General features: G+C 50.0%; 1 protein-coding gene across 16 annotated transcripts in view, besides 5 other annotated features; it reads left to right on the top strand.

The window, feature by feature from the left end:
• ZNF516 (zinc finger protein 516) overlaps positions 1-23,669 on the top strand; it is a 138,738-nt gene that overhangs the window by 81,553 nt on the left and 33,516 nt on the right. The window lies entirely within an intron of this gene.
• Positions 2,326-2,886: an enhancer, noted in NCBI's record as "H3K27ac-H3K4me1 hESC enhancer chr18:74123937-74124497 (GRCh37/hg19 assembly coordinates)". NCBI's record gives its function as "activates a minimal SCP1, AML or CMV promoter by ChIP-STARR-seq in naive H9 embryonic stem cells {active_cell/tissue: H9 hESC(naive)}" and the evidence as "EXISTENCE:reporter gene assay evidence [ECO:0000049][PMID:30033119]".
• Positions 3,591-3,640: a silencer, noted in NCBI's record as "silent region_9551". NCBI's record gives its function as "represses an Ori minimal core promoter by ATAC-STARR-seq in GM12878 lymphoblastoid cells {active_cell/tissue: GM12878}" and the evidence as "EXISTENCE:reporter gene assay evidence [ECO:0000049][PMID:35858748]".
• Positions 3,751-3,830: an enhancer, noted in NCBI's record as "active region_13507". NCBI's record gives its function as "activates an Ori minimal core promoter by ATAC-STARR-seq in GM12878 lymphoblastoid cells {active_cell/tissue: GM12878}" and the evidence as "EXISTENCE:reporter gene assay evidence [ECO:0000049][PMID:35858748]".
• Positions 4,021-4,120: a silencer, noted in NCBI's record as "silent region_9550". NCBI's record gives its function as "represses an Ori minimal core promoter by ATAC-STARR-seq in GM12878 lymphoblastoid cells {active_cell/tissue: GM12878}" and the evidence as "EXISTENCE:reporter gene assay evidence [ECO:0000049][PMID:35858748]".
• Positions 9,161-9,997: an enhancer, noted in NCBI's record as "H3K4me1 hESC enhancer chr18:74116826-74117662 (GRCh37/hg19 assembly coordinates)". NCBI's record gives its function as "activates a minimal SCP1, AML or CMV promoter by ChIP-STARR-seq in naive H9 embryonic stem cells {active_cell/tissue: H9 hESC(naive)}" and the evidence as "EXISTENCE:reporter gene assay evidence [ECO:0000049][PMID:30033119]".

The following is a 23,669-nucleotide window of genomic DNA, read 5'->3' as shown; positions in this document are numbered from 1 at the left end:
AGACATTTAAGAATGTGTGGTGTCTGTGTGTGCACACACGTATCACTTGATTTGAAAAATAGATTAAAAGCCAGATTCTCTATGTGTTTAATATCACATAGTTGGTGCGAACATGATTGGCCCATTCTTCTCATGACTTATGTCATTTTAAGAAATTTAAGACCAAATTTTAGAATTTATTGGTTTATCTTTCACATAATTATTCTTAATTGAGCCTTTAAACAACTACAGTGCTAATGAAGTAGGTAACCTTCTTCGGGTGAAGAAAGTTAAAGAAAACCTGAAAAGAGAATTTTGATCGACAGTAGTATGTAGATTCAAATAGCAGTTTGTGGTTTACTGTGTAACTCTTGAAAATCACCAGAGACACGAAAACTGTGTACATTCAGCATTGCCTGTATTGCCAGCTGGTATACATAGTGACAGAGGGCATTTGTTCTGTGATCAGCTAAATTGTAAGACATTATATTACATTTTAGGGATGAAAACCCTTAAAATAAACTGAAACCCAGCTGAGGAAAATAACACGTGGAACTGGTATCCCAACTTTAAATAAGATTATTTTTCAGTGAAATCGTACTTCAGGATATGCTAGTATGCTGTTCAAGAAAGTAGGAAAATGGCTTGTTTCAGAATAAGTAGGCTTTTTTAAACAACTGGATTGTAAACAATTGGTAATGCTGAAAGCCAAACAACAATGAAGGATTTCACTAATTTAATGTAAATACATAGGAATCTATATATGTACATGTTAGTCTTTAAAATTCTGTAAGAAATACAGTTTTAAAGTGAAGTTTTTGAGTAAGGGTAAAAGATAATGTTTTGATGGCCTAAGAATTTCTCAAGAATAAAACTTTTTGTTCCAATGTTTGTTTAAAAAAAGTGACATGAAATTTCTTGAACTGTTTAGTAATCAGACAAACTGCTTAAATATTGTATCAGTTTGAAAAAACATTTAACGAAACCTTTTAAATAAGCAGATGTTCACTAGTCTTGAATACATAAGAACTGTGTGAAGACTTGGGACATTTTTGTTCATGAGGTTTCGTGAAGATTTTTCTTGTTCACCAATATTATTGGCTTTTACGTCATCATTTAAAGACCTGTTTCAATTTTAGTTTTATACAGTCACATTGAACCCCTGCCCAAAGTGGGTTAGATGAAGAAAACATATATCTTAGCATAAAATCAGTTCCGGTGGGAGGAAACCGTGGCAGCCCAGATATTTGGGGGTGGGCGTTAAGGTGTGCTGAGGTATTCGAGGGGATGAAATTGAACCAGTCATGACATAATTTTTTTTTTGAAACAAAAAATGTACTTTATCTTATTAATATAGTCATATAAAGTGAATGTAGTTGGTTGATTGATAATGGGATTGCATGGGAAACCTGGATCCTTTTCTCTTCCTTAGTCCTAGCATCTTTCTATCGATTGATTGATTGAACAGACGTCTGTTGGGTGTGGTGCTGCTAGGCAAGATGAACGATACCCTCTCCCTGCTGCCTAGGAGCCTGGCGTCCGCCAGAGAAGGATTTTAGATATGTGTAATTTATATATAATTTTAAAGTCATGTAGTAGTAGAATTTAACTGCTAAATTCTACTTAAAGTTCTTCCACTACATTTTTATTGTTTTGGCAAGGTTTGCAGGATTGAATTAGTCACTAAGGAGAGAGAGAGTGTGGTCAACTTTAAAGCCACAGAAAATCTTTTTTAAAAAATGGGAATAAACCGTATGGCATTTTCAGCAGTACGTCCTGTTTCCAAATAATAGCACTTCGTTTCTGCCTCCGCTTCCCGCTTCCTCACAGAGGCCTTGGTTTCAGCATTACCTTGGCAGGTGCAGTGTCTCATGTCTAAGGAGAAGTGGGCCTCTGAGCAGGGCTCACTGTGGGCCGCGGTGGCGTGCAGTGATGCTAGGTTCTGGTAGGTTCCGGGTAGGTTATGGCGGGACTCAGAGGTGGGCGAGGTGGAGGGAGGATGCCACACTCAGCCCGGTGTCCCGGGACATTGAGGGAAGAAAGACTAGAAAGAAGACCCGGAGTTCTTTGGGAGAGGAGAGGACTCAGTGGGACCATGGAATCCCTGGTTGCCCAAAACTGTGTCCAGACAAAATCTTGAGAGGAAAAGAGTCCAGGAGCTGCCTCAGTTGCTGTTGGTCACTTTGTCACGTGGGGCCACATCTTGGCAACGACTTGACTTCCTGCTTCCACATCAGGAGGCACGGTGTGTCCTTATCCTCCGGCCTCCCCTCCCTTCCTCTATTACCCAGTGCATTGCAGTCCTTGAGGAAGAAATGAGGTCAGTCTCCATGGCCATTGTCTTCCTAAGGCTGGCCCTGCTGATCGCCAGGTGGGTTCGTAGAGTGTGTGGGCTCCCGTCGGTCCCCAGGTGAGTGGAGGCAGTGTTTGGGGTCACGCCTGTGTGCAGTAGGACTAAGCTAAGAGTAGGAATGGCCCTCCCAGGAGGGGAGGAGAGCCTTGGGCTGGAGTGGCCCACCCAGAGTCAGGGCTGTTTTCAGGTTTTCCTGTTTCAGGCCGTCCCTTTGGGTGCCGTGTACGTCCCCTCTGTCCCCAGTGAGGAAGGAGAGCATCGCCAGGGTGTTCTCCCCTGGAAGTGCAGCAGCAGTCAGCACGGCGACCTTCGCTGGTCTTGGTCCCGGACTTAGGAATGCAGCCTCATCAGGGAGCTGTGAATCATTAGTGCCGCTTCCTCTGAAAATAGTTTTTGACATTCAGCTGCAACAATGCCACTATTTACCATCTACATGGTGGTCTCTGGGCTGCTCTTGCATTTTGCCGAGGTCATTAAAAAATCTGGAATACACACCCACACGGTCTTGGAGAGGATACGTTTTATGATCTGGGATCATCTCGGGTTGACTCCTTTGAATGTTCAGATGTTTTTATTTTAAGAGTATTTTAAGGTTAAGATGACCTATGTGCTTTGCTAGTTTTCTTATCTAAGTATGTGATAATAAAAAGTGGTATTTTAAATATTTTAAAAACTGCTTTATGCTGGAGGGGTGGTACACGTTTTCAGGCACTGTCTCCCCACTGCCTGAGTGCAGAGGGCTCCTGGCAGAGACTGTCCCATCCACCTCCTCATTTTGTGGATGAAAAAGGAAGGTCAAGATGAGGTTTCAGGTCTTTGGAGCCTTCTGAGCCCTCTCCGTAGTCAAGCGGTAATTTTAGGACTTGTTGAGTTTGATGCTTTGGGCTTTTGTGTTTCAGAAGTTTTTTGTGGTGTTTTCAACACATCCTTCCATGCTTTTGGCGTATTTTGTAACTTTTAAGTATTTTATAGTTTTAATTTTGCTTTGTTCCCCACCTTTGCTGCTCTCCTCTGAATGCCATGGAATAGTGTCTTGTCTATTAACTCTGATGTCAGTGATCCTAAGTGAAGAATCCAACCTTAGAATTACCTGTGGTTAAGAAATATTTTTGTTGAAGCCGCGACTTGCTGAAATGCTTGGAAATGTTCTTGTCTCCAGTGCAGGATGTTCAGTGGAACTGAGTGTATTTTGGAGGCTGTTGATGTAGAATCTGCACTGTGTGTAGCTGGGGTGCAGTGAGGCATTTTGTCTCTGGGGTATTGCGAAAGGTACACGACACCCATTTCATCCAGAATGACAGGATTGTGACACTCAAGGCTGCACAGTCCTTCGTGAGTAGCCCCTGGCCATGAGAGGCTACGTGTTGAACAGGGCAGATTTAGAGACCGTTTCCATCCCGGAGGAGGACCTGTTAGACAGTCCTGACCTCAGGGATTCCATGTGCTTTTCAGTTGTCTTAAGAACACAGCTTCTGAAAATGGAAGCATTTCATAGCAGCAAAGCTGTGTTAGAATTCTAGCTGGTCTTTTATTTCTTTAATCTGAAAGTTTTATCTGCTTTTAGGACATGCAAGTTCTTCTCATTGATATATTGAAAGGCAGACTGAGCACACTGTTGTGTATTCATTTAGAAAGTTGAGTGTGTAGGTGTTTGCTCTTTGATGTGTTTAATTGGCTATAACCTGAGATCTTGAAAAACTCCCCCGGGAGATTGCTGCTGATTGGATGTGTGTTGCGTGTTGTGGCTGCATGGTGAACACTAGGAGGTGAGGAAGAATCCTGTGGTAAAATTTCTCTTTTTCTCCTCCAGCCGACTCTCAAGTCTCCCACAAGTGAATGGTTTATTTTCTTTGATTCCCAAAATAAATTTGCAAGGGGAAGATTTCCATTCTACCAAAACAAATTGAAATTTTTAAAAATCATAGGGTTTTTCCTCCCCAAAAGCAAATTTTACCTGTCAGAGTTCAGTGTAGTTAGAAAAGCGTCTCGGTACCTGAAGCAGGAATGCAGGCTGTGTAGGGAACTGCGGAACCACTGCGCGAGCTTCGGGACCTGTTCGAGGCAAGGCCTCCTCCAGTGGCTCCAGAAAGTGACAGAATGACAGAATCAACCCATCTCAGGAGCTGTTTTCTTTGTGCTGAAAGGAAGAAGCCACAGTCAAAACCGCTTCTTGAGACCTTGGAAGCCAGAGAATGGATACCTGAAGCCCTGACCCGAGAATCAGGAAGCTCTATCAAGAAGCTCTCACTTTTGCCACTATTTTGTGACAACCAGGGGCCTGGAGAAGGAACCCAGCTGTGGCGAGCCCTCATACTTCCCTGTCCTTGCCAGCCAGCACTGGCAGCTGGGAGCCTCCTGTATTAGTCCGTTTTTAACGCTGCTAACAAAGACATACCCAAGACTGGGTGATTTATAAAGGAAAGAGGCTTAGTGGACTCATAGCTCCCCATGGCTGGGGAGGCCTCACAATGATGGTGGAAGATGAAGGAAGAGCAAAGGCACATCTTACATGGCGGTGGGCAAGAGAGTGTGTGCAAGGGAACTCCCCTTCATAAAAACCATCAGATCTCGTGAAACTTACTACCATGAGAACAGTGTGGGGGAAACTGCCCCCATGATTCAGTTATCTCCACCTGGCCCCACCCTTGACACATGGGGATTACTACAATTCAAGGTGAGATTTGGGTGGGGACACAGCCAAACCATACCACCTCTAATGTCTGGATCTCACTGGTGCCTCCAATTTGGGGACATGTAATTTGTAGCAAAGCCTAGCTGCAAGGCAGTCTGGGAAATGCAGCTCTCTCGGTTTTCCACCATCTCCAGCTACAGGGAGGGTGGGCTCATGGTGAAGTAGCAAATCCAGAGAGCCCAGCACAGATGTGAAGAGTTATCCAGACTGGCCACTGAGCATATTTTTGGTGTAATAGTTGGTATACTTTAATATCGTTCCTACCAGAAGAACAGTCTGGCCCACCATGTGATTGTTCTTCAGTCTCTAGTTCAATGAAATGTAAGTGCTTGTTTTCTTTTTTTGCAACACTAATTTTTACTGTAACTTCAAAATCAGCTTCTTAGAATTTTTTCTTTTTAATTTCCATTGGCAAATTAGTTGTGACAATGGTAGCATTTCCTGCAGTGTTCTTGGAGGTCAGGTTAAGAAATCGAATTTGATTAATTTTGATAATACATTTTAATTAATTTCAATAATGAATATTTTGTGATTAAATTTGATAATGAAAATTTGGTCATCAGAGAACTCTGGTGTTCCTGATTTGTATAAAAATAGAGTTTCTATAAATGTACAAAACATATCTGTGCAGAGGAAGTGGAATCCACAACCACATTTAAGCAAAGTCTCAATTTCCCTGGAATCGTTCTCTTGCTGCTCTTCCACTTTAGCTATGTAAATATTTTTTATTTGCTTATATTAGGGAGATTTTATATATAAATGATTATGTCTAGTTATTTGCTGTATGTTTCTCTGCAAGTGTAAAACTTTTATGATTTTTTTTATAGCTTCTTTGTTTTCTGAAGGTTAGATAGATAAGAATATATTTAACTTTTCGTATCTTTGGCTTGGCTTCTGAGTGGGGGCGGAACCTCAGTCTGAGCCTCAATTTAGCAGCGCTCTCGTCAGTGTCCTGAGCCCAGCTTCATGGTAGCTTCACTTCACAGTGTCAGGAGACAGGACTAGAAGTGGGTGCTAAGTATTTCATAGGAAAATGTTTGTCGACTGAGGGTGATACATTACTGGAAATCTAAGGACAGCTTTGTGGAAGTTGTTTTCTGTGAATTAGCGAGCGAACACAAACGTGTCACTATGCAAACATTCACGTGGGTCAGTTTGGAAAGGCCTCTTTTTACGCCTCTTTCTGTCGTTAGCGGTCATGTTCTTCTTGGTGTTAGGGTGCCAGTGTCTCACACAGTCTTGGGAGCCATGTGCCCTCAGTTTCCTAGTTGGATGACAAACATTGACACCTTCCGCCTTTAGACGTTTTTCACCTCCTGGTTCCTTTTAAACCATCCCTTAAACCTCACAGTGTACTTTCCGAGCTATACCAGAGCCATGCACTTCTTCTTAATTTTTGCTATTTTCCCTTGTGACTGGTTTCACCCCGGCTGGAACTCCCGGAGGGTCTCAAGTGTGTCGCTGTCAGGAGAGACGCACGCCGCAGCCCCTCGGAGCTTGCTGTCCACACCAGCCTGCAGCACCTCTTGGATGAGGATCAGTTCACCCACCTTGGAAACAGTCATTGTGTCACTAGGAACTCAGCCTTCCAATAACAGCGGGGAGGTCATAGTGACGTGCGATTAAAAACGTTCATGCAAGGTCTACTTTCCTGGTCCTGCCAGTTCTGTCCCTCCAAGGCTCTGGGTCCTTCCTCACCTCCCCAAATGTAGCAGCCTCATCTCATTTTTTGAGGAGACTGTTGCCTCCCTTGCCATCCCATGAACCATATGGGAAAAAGCCTTCTGGTCCTTTTAAAATGGTGCATGTCTAGCGTGCCAAAACTACAGAGGACAGAAGCAGCGCGGGCTGCACCAAGAGGGTGCAGTTGGCATCATCCAGGTGGTGGGAAGCCGGCAGTGGGCCAGCCTGTGGACCGGGGACCCTCAGACACATCAGGGAAGGACCTGGCTGGGCTGCAGCTCAGAGGGCTGCGTGTTTGAACTGCATAGAGGAATGCAGGGAAGTGAACACTGTGGAAACTTGGGCGGGGCTCTGAGCCCATGGGCCCCATGAGGGGTGTCTGGGTGGCTGGCAACGACTGTTTCTTGCGGGCTGTAGCTATAAGGGTGTTCACCTTCGAATAACTGATTAAACTGCATGTCGTGTTGGGTATTTTCTGTATCCATGTTTTACCATCAGAAAGGATGAAAGAGTTAAGGGGGAAATGGCAGTGTTGCTAGAATGATGCTTGGTGGTGGACGAGTGGATTGGCATGGCTTGTGTTCAGAGGGCGGTGTTGTCTGTGCCAGGAAGGCTGGGGTTCCAATCACATGGCCCCGTCTCCTCGTAATTATGGATGCTGCCGCCCGAGCCCCTGTCCCGACATTGAACCTGCGCTACTGGGTTTCCTCCTCTCCACTCCCCCCCTCTTCTTTGTTATGAGACAGGGTCTCTGTCGCTCAGGCTGGAGTGCAGTGGCACGATCTTGGCTCACTGCAACCTTGATCTCCTGGGCTCAAGGGTTCCTCTCACCTCAGCTGTTCGAGTAGCTGAAACAACAGGTGCACACCACCATGCCTGGCTAATTATTTTATTTTTGTGGAGATGGGGTCTCTGTTGCCCAGGTTGTTCTCGAACTCTTGCACTCAAGTGATCCTCCTTGGCCTTTGGAAGGCTGCCTTGGCCTTCCAGAGTGTTGAGATGATAGGTGTCAGCCACCATGCCTGCCCTGGGTGTCCTTGAATCCACCTCACAAAGTAGAATTAACTCATTTTGTAGCGGAGGAATCCAGAGCCGTTCTAACCTGTCCACCCAGCCTGTGCACGAGAGAACCTGGATTCTGTCTGGGCGAGGTCTCACCCAACAGTGGACGGAGACGCACTGTGTGCCCCGGGTTAGCAAATCTAAGATAGCCCCAGGCAGGAGCACGGGGACTCCGGCCTGGCAGGGGACACTGAGATGCGGCCACTCGGCTGCTGTCTCCCACTCTCAAAGAGGCGGTGCTCGTGTGGGTCTGTCTCTGAGAAGGATAAGACTCTGCACTCCTGGGCCGTCAGTGGATTCTGTGGGGACTTCCTGCTGTGATGGTGAGAAAGAGGGTAATTTTATTGACTATTGGGAACTTTGACATCTCTTAGGTCTACAGGAACGTGTTGGCGAAAGCCTGGAACCCATGATAACGTGCAGACAGGCCAGCAGAGCCAGGAAGGCTTAGGAAAGGGGAGATTTAGGGGAGATGTGGAGCGCGGCTGTCGCTGGCTTTATGGTTTCTTGTTTGTTTTGTTTTGTTTTTCTTTTTAGACAGAGTCTCGCTCTGTCACCCAGGCTGGAGTGCAGTGATGCCATCCTGGCTCACTGCAACCTCCGTCTCCCGGGTTCAAGCGATTCTCCTGCCTCAGCCTCCTGAGTAGCTGGGATTACAGGCGTGCACCACCATGCTCGGCTAATTTTTGTATTTTTAGTAGAGACGGGGTTTCACCATGTTGGTCAGGCTGGTCTTGAACTCCTGATCTCGTGATCCTCCTGTCTCGGCCTCCCAGAGTTCTGAGATTACAGGCGTGAGCCACCGCGCCCGGCCTTGTTTTTGTTGTTAAGAGGAAGATTGGCTAAGTAGATGGACGAGGCTTCAGAGTAGAAATCCAGCACAGGCGCCACCTGGTGGTGAAGAAGTCAGGGTAAAAGAGAGGTTTGGGGTCTGGGCAGCGCGGGCGAGTTGCAGGCCGGGCGGTGCCTCCGGAGGAGGGGCTGCAGGGTGTCCCGTGTGCCATCTGCCCTGAAGGAGGCCCCTCACCTGCGTGCGCTGTCGTCTGATGACAGCTGGGCCTGCTGAGGACGCTTGAGCACGCCTCCCGTGTGGATGTTGGTGTGAGGGCCAGGCATGACTGAGTTGTTCAGTGTATCAGAGGTGGATCTGATCAGTCCGTGCAGAAGCCGCCATGCAAGGTGGGTCCCTGACGGATGGGGTTGGCATGGACTCATCACCCATGGGACGGGGCGGCGGGATTCCAAAGGAAGGTGAGTCGCCTTTGACCCTGACTGAAGTATGGGGAGGGGCAGCCGTCATCAGGCTGAGTGTGACGGTGTGGCTCTGTGTCTCGGACAACACACGCATTCATCACGCGTGTGTCAGCGGAGTCACCAACCGGGGGCGTTTGGTAAAAATACTGCAGGCCTGATGACCGTGGATGTCTCTGAAGGGATGAATGTTTCACCGTGGTGCTTAAATGAACCGCAAGCAGAACCGCAATGAGAACACAACAGAACCGGGTGCCCCGAAAGTGAAAGGGGTAGAAGGGAAGACAGGAACCAGGAAAGGAGGCCCTTCAAGCTCCACGCCGCCCCTCCCGGGCTGGGGCCTGCTGCCTGCTGGCTGTGCTCAGCTGCTTCATGCTGATGCACTGCGGAGTCTCCTGCCGTTGCCCACGCCCTGTCGGTGCCTCACTGAGCCCTTCCTGAGTGTCCTGTCCTATGCGGGTAGCACTGGTGGGTGTGTGCAGTGTGGGGTGGAGGCTGAGGCGGGAGGATCGCTTGAGCCCAGGAAGTCGAGGACACCCGCAGTGAGCTATGATTGCACCACTGCACTCCAGCCTGGGCAAGAGTCAAACCCCTGTCTCAAAAAAGACACAGTCTGTCTGATGGGAGGCTGCACAGTTCGGGGGGCCCTTGGGTTTGTGGTGCCAGTGCAGACCCTGTTCCCTGGAAACCGTGTTCCCGATGACCTCCAGGGTGTGTCCTTATCTTGGCCTCGGGAGGCTGGTTCATCAGGTGCTGAGGAAAGCGAGTATCTGCCTAGCTTGTGCCTGCAATGGGCCCAGCACCTGAGGTCTTTGCTGGGAGCAAAGGGCAGGGTACTGCTTATACCTGGGTTGCTGCATGTGTGGGGAGGGGACCAAGGAGGGTAGGGGGACCATCGACCGTGGCTTAGGACTCTCCTGTCTGCAGGGACGGCCCCACACACACACGCTCCTACTCACAGTCATGCTCACCATACATGGACAGATGCTCACACATGCACACAGTTACAGTGATACACATGCAAACTCGTGCACACATGCTAACATGCACACATATGCTCACACATGTACTCATGCTCAAAGATGCTCATATGCTCATGCACACACAACGCACATGCTGATCACATGCACACGTGCATATGCTCATGCTCACACTCATGCTCACAGGCACAAACTCACGCTCACCCATGTACACATGCACATGCATCCTCACACAGGTGCACTCATACTTACAAACATACACTAGTATGCACACATGCTTACTCATTACATACTCACAAACATACAAACACATGCACACGTTCACACATGTTCACACACATTACTTGTGCAGTCACATGCACACACATGCACACATGCTTACATGCTCACATGCACAAACACAAACTTGCTCACACACATGCACACTCTTACACGTGCACACATGCTCACTCACCCCCACACTCACACAGATACTCTAAAACTGCCGTTCACACACATGCACATTACACGTAGTATATGCACTCACACATACACACGGTCCACATGCACGAAGTGCTGGAGTGGGGCGAGTGGGATCACGTCGTCTCCCCCAGGCGTGTGTGGAGCTGCATGTGAGGTCCTTGGGGACCCCCCTGGCTCTGGGGTTCATGGAAGAGGGCGATACCATGTGGGACCACCTGCTTCCGAGGGTCTTCCCTTTGCCCAGGGCTTGAGATTGGTGACTTTTCAGCAACATTTGTCACTGGAGACTGCTAAGTCCCCAGGGGTGTTGGAGAGCCACAGAGTGGAGTGGGGAGGCCAGTTCTGCCCCAGCCCTGCCCAGTGGACAGGAGCCCCAGGCTGCCAGCCTGTCCGCTGCTGCTCTGGTACCCACGTGGGGGCCACAGGGAGTGGTGGTCGGTGCTCGTTGTCCGCAGGATGCTTAGTCCTTGGACCTGTGCTTTTTGTAGACATCGAGACTGTTGCAGGGGTATGCATGTTCCCCAGATTTTAAAAATCATAAGTATTTCATTACTGGCAGCTGCATCTTTTAGTTTTGATGTGAATACATCATATAGATCATGAAATTGATGGAAATCTGTCAATAGGAGAAGGTGAGGCCCTTGTAATGTGTTTCGCTCGTGGTATGTGTGTGATTTCTCACTCAGGTTATTAAGGATATAGATTGGATGCTCTCAGCTTTAAGAATTACCTCCAAACATGCGCCTGTTTTCTCACTTTAAAGAATGGTGGATTCATGGGTGTGAAACTCTAGATCTTGTATTTGGTTGTAGGAGGTACGTGAGGGTCAGGGCTGGGTGCTCTGTATCTCATTGTACAGTCGCTGACCCCTGCAGTCCTGGATTCCCAACCCAGACCACACTGCGATTCTCTTGTGAGTTGTGCGAATGCGTGTGTGACTGCACACATGCCTGTGCCGTGTGTGCCCCCCAGGTGTGGCTGTGCATGTACAGTTGTATGTATGTCCATGAATGCATGACCACATGCTTGTGCTTTGTATGTGTACCTGTGTTGGTGTGCGTTGCAGCGTGCCTGTGTGTGTGGCTTCTCATCTGACTGCATGTGTATGAGAAGAGATGAACCAGGTCAGGCAGACAGGTGCAGGCAGCCCTGGGCAAGGGAAGTGTCTTAACGGGTGCACCAGTATAGTACTGTTGTATGGACTTCCAGGTGGATTTGAATAGTTTAAGCAGTTGTGTTTTATTCCTATGTATAGTAAACGCAGGGTAGATAAACATGGGTAATTACAGAGAAATAGTCATAGCCATTGATGATAATGGAAATGACAGTAGTGCCAGGCGCCTTTGGTGGTTTCTGGCCTGGTGGCAGGCAGGTGGCTCAGCAGCAACTGGGAAGGTGCGCAGGTGAGCACAGTCTCCCTTTGCAGGTGGCTTCTGGCTCTCAGCCCTGTAGCTTCGACTAGCTTCGACTCTGTGGCACAACCAGTGGATCACTTGTTGTCCTGCGAGCGCAGACAGCAGCTGCCAGCATGGGAACACGGAGGGCATCAGTTCATCACTTGTGGTCCTGCGAGCGCAGACGGCAGCTGCCAGTGTGGGAACACGGAGGGCATCAGCTCAAGCTGATAGAAGCGCAGCGGCCCGATGGAGCTCGCTTCTAGTTCAGAGAGGAGAAATCACGTGAGAGTCAGACCTGTCAAGTCATCGCTGATCTGAAGTTCGTTTAAGGAGCGGAGTTTAGTCGTTCAGATCTGTTGCGACTCTTCAGATCACTTCCCGTTTTGCAATCACGACTGTCCGTGAGTGCCCGAGTGTAAGTTGTGTTCTTGGAGAAGCAACGTCTTCCTCTGTCCCCCGCAGGGGCCTCAGACAGCCTGGGTCCCTGAGGGGCCACTTGGTCCATGGTCTGTCCTGTCACGTGGGTGGCAGAGGGGGTCACAGGTCACACAGGTCCGGGTTCTCAGCTGTGGGACGCCTGTAGCTTGGATGAAAGGAAATGTCCTCGGACCTAGGCATCTTAGGATGGTAAAGCTGAAGGGGCCTGTGGGACCCTTCCTGTCCTCTGGGTGGTGGCTCTGGGAGGTTACGGGAGGGCACCCTTTCTTCAGGTTTACTCTCGACTTCTCTGGAGGCAGCTGCGCGGGACAGCCCAGTGTGTGCCTCGTTCACTGCTGAACTCAGCAAGAGGGATTGTTGTGGCCACTGGCGGGATTTGTATTCACAGAGTAAATGAATTCATTGGTGTTGACCGAGGCGATGTCTTCAGCAAATAGAAGGCGCGGGGCTAAGGCTTGTGCATATACAATTTCTTTTCAGAGAAGCCCTCCCCTCCCTGTGGGATGCAGAGACCACTGGTCACGTTCACGTGCACACATGCGCGCACGTGTACACACAAACGTGTACACACGCGCGTACACACATGCACATAGGCACGCACATGCATGTGCAGTCATTCTGTGGAAATTGTTTATGCAGAGTTGGCACTCAAACAATACTGGTTTTCCCTGTCCCTCTTGAGAGCCTATAAACAGTAGTGGAGGGGTGCGGCGCGGGGGTGTGGTTGGTGGAGAGATGGAGCGCGGGGGTGTGGTTGGTGGTGGAGGGGTGCGGCGCGGGGGTGTGGTTGGTGGAGAGATGGAGCGCGGGGGTGTGGTTGGTGGTGGAGAGATGCGGCGCGGGGGTGTGGTTGGCTCTGAGAGCCCCGGGAAGGAACTGACTGGGAGGCCGGTTGTGCTCCGGGCTCACCTTGCCCCAGGAGTGCCGTCGGTCTGTCCAGGGGCCACATAGGGGCCCATGCGGGCTCTGCCAGCAGCTGCAGGGCGTTTCGGAGATGGCCTCGGAGAAGCCCGTGGGCGGAGAGGGACGGACTTAGGCTTGGCCTCTTGTGACCAGCTTTTTGATGTAGTACTTGATGGAAAACAGCTTACTTAGCTTTCAAAATTTTGAATTCATAGATCCAGGGCTCCAGCTTGGTCAACGAGCTCCTGCGAAACAGTTGCAGAGATATTATTTTGTAACTCCTTCTCAAAATAGAAATATGACTGAGTGGTTGAGAAGATAAATGCAGTAATTAGGGCTTTCCAGAGATTTGTCTGAGGCATTGTTCAATTGGGGCTTGAAATTCTTTTTTTTGGTTCACAAAAAAAAAAAAAAAAAAGATAAATTGAAGGTGAACTATAAGAACAAAACTTAACCCATTTATGCCGGAGGTTGCAAATTTCTTTTTTTAGTGAAAAATCAGACCTTGGTGACAACCTTGAGCAGTAGGATATAAATAACTCCCATGAGCTTAGCGTTCCAATAATGGAACACTAGGCATAAATGGGTTAAGATGTACAGGAAAGGAAAATACAGTTATTTCCTCTTTTTAAAAATAGGAGAGAAGAGGAAAACGAAGGAATGAAGTCTGAAGGAGAAATGTATATATATATATATTGTGTTTACATCATTTTAATGGACACTATAATTACAACCCTTTTGTTACAACTTACAGTGTGATTAAGGAAGCCTGCCTGAGATATTTCAGGAACAATATAGTGTTGTGATTTGGGGAGAGTTGCTGAAATTTTTAAGTAAAATGTCAGATCTTTTCCTTAGGTATCCATGGTGGACTGGAACTTCTGAGACTCAATATTTATATTACATAATAGTTTGAACTCTGCATGTGGGAGCTGTAGAAAACCTACATGTTTCACATTTGTTTATATATGTGTAACCATAACATGCTTTAGTTTTGCCTGGCTTTCTGTGTGGACAAGCTTCCTAACCAGACAGGCCGTGCCTACGTAGTTTGATTCCATTTGGTCACCCCTCTCTGCTTATAGCTTTATAATCCACACTCAACCAAGTACGGGGTCAGTACCAGCCAGGTTGTGAATTCATCAGAACGATAAGAGTAAGAATGTCTAATGGGGAAAGCTGGGATGTTTATTTGTTTATTTAGTGTCCTAAAATAATGAAGTTTTAACTTTCTGGGCGTTTAGGTAGCAAATCCTACCAAGTGCTCAGAAATAGCTGTTTCTCAAATTATTCAGTCCGTCTTACCAGAAGACACACATCACAGTACCCAAAGAATGACAATAATTGTAACATAAACCTCTGTGAAAGGACTTAGAAAATTGTGTCGTGAACACCGTGAGCCTCGCCTGCTCCTGTGTTCATCTCTGGCCTAGGCTCAGACCTGGGGGTTGTCTTTTTCCCTCTCTGGCTTCTGCCCCAAGTCGGCCTCTTGGGAAATTGTCCCTCCATCTGTCTCCCCTTCCAGTTGCTCACTCTGAATTTCCAGCCCTTTCACACCCTCCTGCCTGAGTTTGCTAAAGTGGGGGCGTGTGCAGGAAGGGCCACTTTCAGAAGGGCTGCTGCCCTTGGGCAGGGCTGATTGCTCTGCGGTGATGGTCTGCTCATCCCACGGTGGGAGAGGCACATCCTTACCCTTGAAACCACCCCACTGGGAGACCAAACTAGGCCAAAGAGCCAGGTATCTTAGCAGTTTCCATTTCATCCACATGTCACTCACAATCTTAAGTGATTATTGCTGGTTCCAAGCAGAAACATGGTGAGGGCTGGTGGCTGGGTCTCCTCCTGCAGGTGGTGACCACCTGGGACCGGTATTGAATGGACGATGTCACCCAGAGCTATGTTCAAGGGATGAGAGTGTTTCCCGACTTATACAGTATCAGGGGGGCCCTGGGGCTAGAAGTCAGACCTGTGGACCTCGAGTCTAGAGGTGACAGAAGACAACTTAGGTGCTGTTTTCCTGAACCTCCTCTCTAGCGCTTAGAACGCACCCAGGCTTTCGCTGAGATGAGCTGCCTTGAAGCCAGCATGGAGAGCATTTTCAAGTCAGTTACTAAATGACTAACATACTTTAAGTCAATTGCTAACTCATTACATTTGAGTAAGTTTTTGCAAGGTTGGACATTTTTGAAGTTGGATATGCTGACTATATATATAATCCCCCACATGTAATGTTCATGGACATAGTTTGCTTAATTCCGTCTATGCCAAAATGCAAATATATTATTAATTTAAAGCCCTCTGCATTTTTAGCCTCTGAAAATATTGTTGAAGGTGCAAACTGAAATGTAAGATGCAGATCAAAAGGATGCATTGCTATACTGACAGTGCTGTGCTTCATAAGACATGTGCATTTTGCATTTGTCCTGATGATCTTTTAAGGCAAGCTCTTGGTGTAAGTCTTTTGCAGATAAATGCCTGTTGTTGAAAAGTGGATGGCTCTTCCATGTACGGGGACCACACGCGTAGCACCAGCACCAGGAGGGAGTCGGGCTATAGCTTGGGCGCAGGTGCCATCTAGTGGTAGCTTCCATGCATTGCGCGGGCTGCCAGGATGCCTCGGGGAAATCCGCCTTCCTCTGTCACGGAGGACAGAGACCGCTTGTGTTATGAAATGGCCTTTGTTCCGTAAGTCAGACACATGCCTGATTTTAAATCTGAAGACTCTACTAATAAGTGATCCTGATTTTTTTTTTTAAAGACTCATTACAGTTTCTTTGTAAAAGACACGGAATTTGGATTCTGTGTTTTTGGACATTTATGCATCGCAATAGAAAAAGTTGTAGAAAGCCATGCAGGTGCTAGCTAGTTTGTGTGTATATTAGTTGGCTTTAAGTCGGAGAAGTGTACAGTGTTATTTCTCTTCCTGAGACTTACTCCCTCCTATGCCTCTTAAAACACTTTGTGTAGGAGAAAACACACAAGTGGTTTAATTGTATTCTTTGTGACTCCTGTTGGAAGATTCCAGGCCCCCATTCCTTCAGAAAGGCCCCCATTCCTTCATAACTAGTGTTATGGGCCTGGCTTTCCTGCTCTCCTCCTTACTCTAAGCTTCCTTATTTTCATTCTAACATCTACCAGCGGCGTCAGCACCTTCTTCCCGACAGTCCCCGCCACCATTCTTGATAAGACTTCATGTACGGCCTTTGTGCTAGCTGGCATCTGCTTCAGACAGCTGCGTCATACAAGGAAAGATTCGTGTTAGCTAATTATTTTTTGCCAACTTGGATAAATTTGTAAGTGGAAATCTTCATTGCTCTCTGATTAAAGTATGGTTTGCCATGTTTTAAAAAATAATAAAAGAATATATTGATTGTATTTTCTCCAGTGGATGTGTTTTGGTTGGCTGTTAGGATCTGGGGACGAAGGAAGGTGTGTAAGGTGTAGAGTAGCCGTGAAAGCCAACTTGAATTCGATTCACTTCAGCATTTGATTCACAACAGAAAAACCAAACCTGAGCGACGCTTCTTTATGGTTGAGTCAATAGGAAGCAGTTAGTAAATTCCAGGTTTCTGGAACCTGATTATGTTTTATGCCGGATAAACTGCTGTTTAACCGAAAGCTGTCATGGAAGCTAGAGGTATTTGATTAACCTTTAAGTTGTTGATTCTGTACTCACTGATTTAAAAAGTAACACGAATAATTTGTCTAGTCAGAAATTCTATATTTAATTTGGGACTGTTTTTGTTCGGACATCAAAATACAGCTTCCAAGGCTGGGGGCGCAGTGGCTCATGTCTGTAATCCTAGCACTTGGAGATGCCAGGGAGGATCACTTGAGCCCAGGAATTTCAGAACAGCCTGGCAACAGAGTGAGACCCATCTCTACAAAAAGTTTTTAAAAAAGTAGCCAAGCATGGTAGCACACGCCTGTAGAGCCAGCTACTCAGGAGGTTGAGGTGGGAGGAGGGCTTGAACCTGGGAGGTTGAGGCTGCAGTGAGCTGTGATTGCACCAGTGCACTCCAGCCCGGGTGACAGAGCAAGACCTTGTCTCAAAAATAAAATATCGTGTCCAGAGTACTAAGATATTTATGTAATTTTCTGTTAACACAGATAACATACTTTCGCAAGTTGTTTATGTTAGTAGATTATCACTTAAAATGAAAACGTGTACTCAGTCATCCAGAAAAAGTAGAATAAACATCTTGGGGTATAATTTATCAAAATTTTATAATACCATTCAGTTCCATGTTGCTCTAGTCCTGGCATTTTCTTGTCATTCAGATTTTTTTTTCTTTTTTTTTGTAGTTCACATTGTATGTGTCATGATAAGAATCATTCTTGAAGACATTTCTTTAGAAGAAACTTTTCTGGCCATAGGACTGAGCTGGACGATTGGCAGCAGCGTTTATTATTCTGTATGAAAGCCCAGGGCTGCCCTTTGATGAGAATGAGGGCAAGACCCACGCTGTCACTTTCCTACTCCATGGCCTTGGTGTTTGGGGCTTGGGTCTCCCCGACTCGGTGCCTCTGGAGGGGCTTGTGGCTTCCTGATGGGCTGCACCTGCTTCTGAACTGCGTAGCCTCTGAAAGCAATTATGTGTCCCCCGGCTTTTCTGTGCTCCTTGTGTCCCTCTGAAGCACTGAGTCTGTCTGGGTTATTTTTTTGTGTTTCAGGAGGAGAACTTCCAGATCACACCAGCCTGTGGCAGTGGTTTTCAGCATTTCTTTGGCTCCCCTTGCACAGGCAGCTTATGTCTTGTTTTTTCATGGAAAAGCCCCCGTGGATATTATAGCTACAACTTTTCCTCGTGCATTTTCTACATCATATCCAAAAACATCGTCTGACAGCGGTGCTCCGGCCTCTCACTCTCAGTGGAATGGCCTCTCTTCTCCACAGTTTGGAGAACCACTCTGCCTGCTGCCAAGATCCTTTCAGCTTGAATATCTTTCCAGGGGCTGTTTTTCCCCCCAGATGTCTATGTAGTTTTGTCTTAGTCTCTGGCATTTTGATTGTCTTAGAAATTCAAATTGTGATGAAATCTGGACGCCTGATTTCATCAAGTTTCCCCCTTTCAGGACAGGTTAAAAGTGATAGATGGATCTTCTTCTGAGCAACACTGTTGATGACTGTGATGTTCTTGCTGTCAAATCCAGTTTTTTGTTAACTAGTCATGTCTGTTATAAAAGTTACTACAGATTCACAAATATTAAAAGTAAATGCTGAAATCTTGAAATGATTTTGAATGCAGTGGCCCTGAGTTCTGAGACAGCGTCGGGCTCCTGGCACTGGGCATTTTCACCTTGGGAAGAGGGTGACCCTGCGCGCCATATATGGTTGAAATCCTCAGTGTCATTTGGATAGAGGCTGTTTGCTTTTATATCACAAATACCTATTTGTTCCCCATGCCCATACACTTGTATGGGGCTAGTTTCATAGATTTTTCTTTTTAAATAAGAGGGAACATCTAAGAAGAAGAAAGTGAAGGAGGGGTGTGACCATCTCCTAATCACAGCTACTGGGGATGGGAGAACCAGTGACCTGAATATCCTATTTGCTGTCAGCCCTGAGCACCATCTACCATTCGAGGCCATCACCTCAAATATTCCATCTGGCTTTTAATTAAGAGAATGGGCTGCTAATGAAATCTCATACTTCAGGTTGTACGTGGATCACCTTCTGGGTCAGGAGCGTGGATGCTGGGAAGAAGGCAGGGCTTCCTCTTTCACTTGCAGCTTTGCGCACTTCCGGACGGTGAAGCTCGCGGTGTGGGGAGCTGGACGAGGAGCGGGGTCCTGTCCCTGAAACACTTGGCTCCTGCAGGGCGGCTGGCCCACCCTCACGGCCGGCTGCAGTGTGACCAGGGTGGTGACGTCATTTGGGAAGTGCTTTATCTTACCGTCATTTGGAGTTTCATTTCCTCGGCACGTGCTGGTGCGTCTTGTTTTGGAGAGAGACTCCCTCATCTAGAATGCGTGGCCTCCAGCCTGTCCGTGGTCACTGACTCCAGTGACTGTAGCTCTGGGATGTCCACCTCAGCACCCACTCGAGGTTGGTAACTGGGTTAAGAGCTGTGCTCTGTGCTGCCAGAATTCCGTACCTGCCCCTGAGGCTGCCTGTGCTTAACGTTACTGTTCTTATTTGCAGGTCCTTAAGAGATACCTGCTGAATTAACGAATTCATCTTGCGCTTCATGCTTTTTAGCAGTTTCCTGTGCACTGTCTCATTGCATGTGAGTCTTGGATATTAAATGACTCCTACTCACCTCATTCATCCCATAAATGCATATTTGTTGATGGTCTCTCTCCCAGGAGCCAGATGCGCTAGATAGTGGCGATAAAGCTGTGAAACAAGGTTTGCTTTCTTGGTGTCTGGGAGATGCTCGTTTAGGACGGGGTGCAGCCTTGTGAATTGCGGGGGAAACAGCGAGCGCAGAGGCCCTGCGGCAGCAGGAGTGCCTGTGTGGGAAACCCACTCTGCTGGGTTAGGGCCAAAATTCCCTTTCTTGTGTTTAACATTTGTTCCCTTACAACCTAAAAACATGGCATGCAGGCATGCAGGCTTTGTCTGTGACTTTGCTCCATCCGTTTCCAATATTCCTGCCTGGCCTGAGATGACCAAATGCTCACTCATGTGTTTAGTTAGAGCAGAAGGAGTTGGAATCGGGACTGAGTTTGAAAAATGCAGACCTGGGATATCATCCGGTTCTTCCAGTCAACCGTGGTTCAGTCAGAAAGGGCGTGTGTGGTGATTGGGCAATGAATGAGTTTCTGTGTGTGGACAGCACTCTCCTGGAGGCTGTGTTCTGACCTGCCTTCCCACCTGCCCTCCCCCCACCTGACCACCCGCCTTCCCCCCACCTGACCACCCGCCCTGCCCCCACCTGACCACCTGCCTTCCCCCCACCTGACCACCTGCCCTCCCCCCACCTGACCACCCGCCCTGCCCCCACCTGACCACCTGCCTTCCCCCCACCTGACCACCTGCCTTCCCCCCACCTGACCACCTGCCTTCCCCCCACCTGACCACCCGCCCTGCCCCCACCTGACCACCTGCCTTCCCCCCACCTGACCACCTGCCTTCCCCCCACCTGACCACCCGCCCTGCCCCCACCTGACCACCTGCCTTCCCCCCACCTGACCACCTGCCCTCCCCCCACCTGACCACCCGCCCTGCCCCCACCTGACCACCTGCCTTCCCGGCTTCCCACCTGACCACCTGCCTTCCCCCCACCTGACCACCTGCCTTCCCCCCACCTGACCACCTGCCCTCCCCCCACCTGACCACCTGCCTTCCCCCCACCTGACCACCTGCCCTCCCCCCACCTGACCACCTGCCTTCCCCCCACCTGACCACCTGCCCTCCCCCCACCTGACCACCTGCCTTCCCCCCACCTGACCACCTGCCTTCCCCCCACCTGACCACCTGCCTTCCCGGCTTCCCACCTGACTACCTGCCCTCCCCCCACCTGACCACCCGCCCTGCCCCCACCTGACCACCTGCCTTCCCCCCACCTGACCACCTGCCCTCCCCCCACCTGACCACCCGCCCTGCCCCCACCTGACCACCTGCCTTCCCGGCTTCCCACCTGACCACCTGCCTTCCCCCCACCTGACCACCTGCCTTCCCCCCACCTGACCACCTGCCCTCCCCCCACCTGACCACCTGCCTTCCCCCCACCTGCCTTCCCCCCACCTGACCACCTGCCCTCCCCCCACCTGACCACCTGCCTTCCCCCCACCTGACCACCTGCCTTCCCCCCACCTGACCACCTGCCTTCCCGGCTTCCCACCTGACTACCTGCCCTCCCCCCACCTGACCACCCGCCCTGCCCCCACCTGACCACCTGCCTTCCCCCCACCTGACCACCTGCCTTCCCCCCACCTGACCACCTGCCTTCCCCCCACCTGACCACCCGCCCTGCCCCCACCTGACCACCTGCCTTCCCCCCACCTGACCACCTGCCTTCCCCCCACCTGACCACCTGCCTTCCCCCCACCTGACCACCCGCCCTGCCCCCACCTGACCACCTGCCTTCCCCCCACCTGACCACCTGCCCTCCCCCCACCTGACCACCCGCCCTGCCCCCACCTGACCACCTGCCTTCCCCCCACCTGACCACCCGCCCTGCCCCCACCTGACCACCTGCCTTCCCCCCACCTGACCACCTGCCCTCCCCCCACCTGACCACCCGCCCTGCCCCCACCTGACCACCTGCCTTCCCGGCTTCCCACCTGACCACCTGCCTTCCCCCCACCTGACCACCTGCCTTCCCCCCACCTGACCACCTGCCCTCCCCCCACCTGACCACCTGCCTTCCCCCCACCTGACCACCTGCCCTCCCCCCACCTGACCACCTGCCTTCCCCCCACCTGACCACCTGCCTTCCCCCCACCTGACCACCTGCCTTCCCGGCTTCCCACCTGACTACCTGCCCTCCCCCCACCTGACCACCTGCCTTCCCCCCACCTGACCACCCGCCCTGCCCCCACCTGACCACCTGCCTTCCCCCCACCTGACCACCTGCCTTCCCCCCACCTGACCACCTGCCCTCCCCCCACCTGACCACCTGCCCTCCCCCCACCTGACCACCTGCCTTCCCCCCACCTGACCACCTGCCTTCCCCCCACCTGACCACCTGCCTTCCCCCCACCTGACCACCTGCCCTCCCCCCACCTGACCACCTGCCTTCCCCCCACCTGACCACCTGCCTTCCCCCCACCTGACCACCTGCCCTCCCCCCACCTGACCACCTGCCTTCCCCCCACCTGACCACCTGCCTTCCCCCCACCTGACCACCTGCCTTCCCCCCACCTGACCACCTGCCTTCCCGGCTTCCCACCTGACTACCTGCCTTTCCCCCACCTGGCCACCTGCCTTCCCATCCACCTTTCCCCCACCTGGTCACCTGCCTTCCCATCCACCTTTCCCCCACCTGGTCACCTGCCTTCCCATCCACCTTTCCCCCACCTGGTCACCTGCCTTCCCATCCACCTTTCCCCCACCTGGTCACCTGCCTTCCCGCCTGCCCTCCCTCCACCTGGCCACTTGTCTTCCCACCTGCCCTTCCCCCACCCGGCCACCTGCCTTCCCATCCACCTTTCCCCCACGTGGCCACCTGCCTTCCCATCCACCTTTCCCCCACCTGGCCACCTACCTTCCCACCTGCCTTCCCAGCTGGCCTCCTGCTTTCCTGGTCTCTGCTCTTGAACATGCAAAGGGCTTCCCAGGCTGCGCTACTTCCTGGGTGACTTGTGTTGCCTGGGACATATTTTGAGCCCTGTGAATGTCACCTTCTGGGTGAAGAGCCCCGTTTGCCAACCCTAGAGCCTGTGGCTGACCAGAAGATTGTAAAACTATAACCTGTTATTAGTGACACTCCCTGTGGTCTTACATCTATTTAGGAACCTAGAGTCTTTTTCCCTATGTCAAAAGATGCTTCTTTCCCTTTCTGTGAAGTCTTCTCATTTTCATGGGGACAGTGAGGAAAAGGCCACCCTGAGCCCTGGATGTAAGGCCTGTCCCTTGGCCGTACTGTGTTTCTTTGGTCCAGTGGCCGAGTCTGCGCTGGCTTCCTGGTTTGACTGGCGTCGCTGGTGGCGGAAATGAGGCTCTTCTTCAGCTGTGTGCTCCCCGGAAGCCAGGGGCGGCGTTGTGAGCCGCGGCAGAGAGGACCGTGGTGTTGTTTGCCTCGCCGTCCCTCTCCCTTTGAGTGTCACGTTCCCCTGCTCTCGTGGCCTCTCTGCTGTGGGCCTACCTGCCCGGCCTCCTCCTGCTGGCTCTGCCTGTCTCTGTCTGATGGGGTCTCCGGCCTTCAGGGCGAGGCTGAGACAACAGCCTTATCCCCAAAGCACACAATGAGGCTGGGGCCATGGGATGACTGAGACCTCTGTGTCTGCAGTTTTCCACCTGGTTGCCTGGGCACCTGTGGAAGTCCCTGTTTCTAATTTGGTATTTTAGTACAGGTTCTGTAGGGCTGGTGTGATTGCCCAGGCTACCAGGATGCCAGTACATCATGTTTGGGGACCCCTGTCCTAGTCACGTGTCTGGGATGGGGCTGTGCAGGTTTGCAGGAGGACCTGGCTGCGGGCAAGTCCACAGCGACAGAGGGAGCGGTTAGGGTTAGAGTTGGGTTAGGGTTAGGTGTTTGGGTTAGGTTTAGAGTTGGGTTAGGTGTAGGGGTAGGGTTAGAGTTGGGTAAGGGGTTAGGGTTAGAGTTGGATTAGGGTTAATAGTGTTAGAGTTAGTGGTTATGGTTAGCGGTTAGGTTTAGGGTTATGGTTGGTTCACGGTTAGGGTTGAGGGGGTTAGGATTGGGATCAGGTGTTCATGTTAGTTGTTAGGTTAGGGTTAGGTGTATTGCTACTGCTATGGCTAGGGTTTGTGCTGGGATTAGGGTTGTGGTTTGGCTTGTGCTTATGGTAGTACCCTCCTCGGCCAGAGCCCTTACGCTCACACTTACTCACCCTGT

Source organism: Homo sapiens, chromosome 18 (genome assembly GCF_000001405.40).
Source record: "Homo sapiens chromosome 18, GRCh38.p14 Primary Assembly".
Taxonomy (NCBI): domain Eukaryota; kingdom Metazoa; phylum Chordata; class Mammalia; order Primates; family Hominidae; genus Homo; species Homo sapiens.
This window is presented reverse-complemented; position numbering and strand designations above follow the sequence as displayed.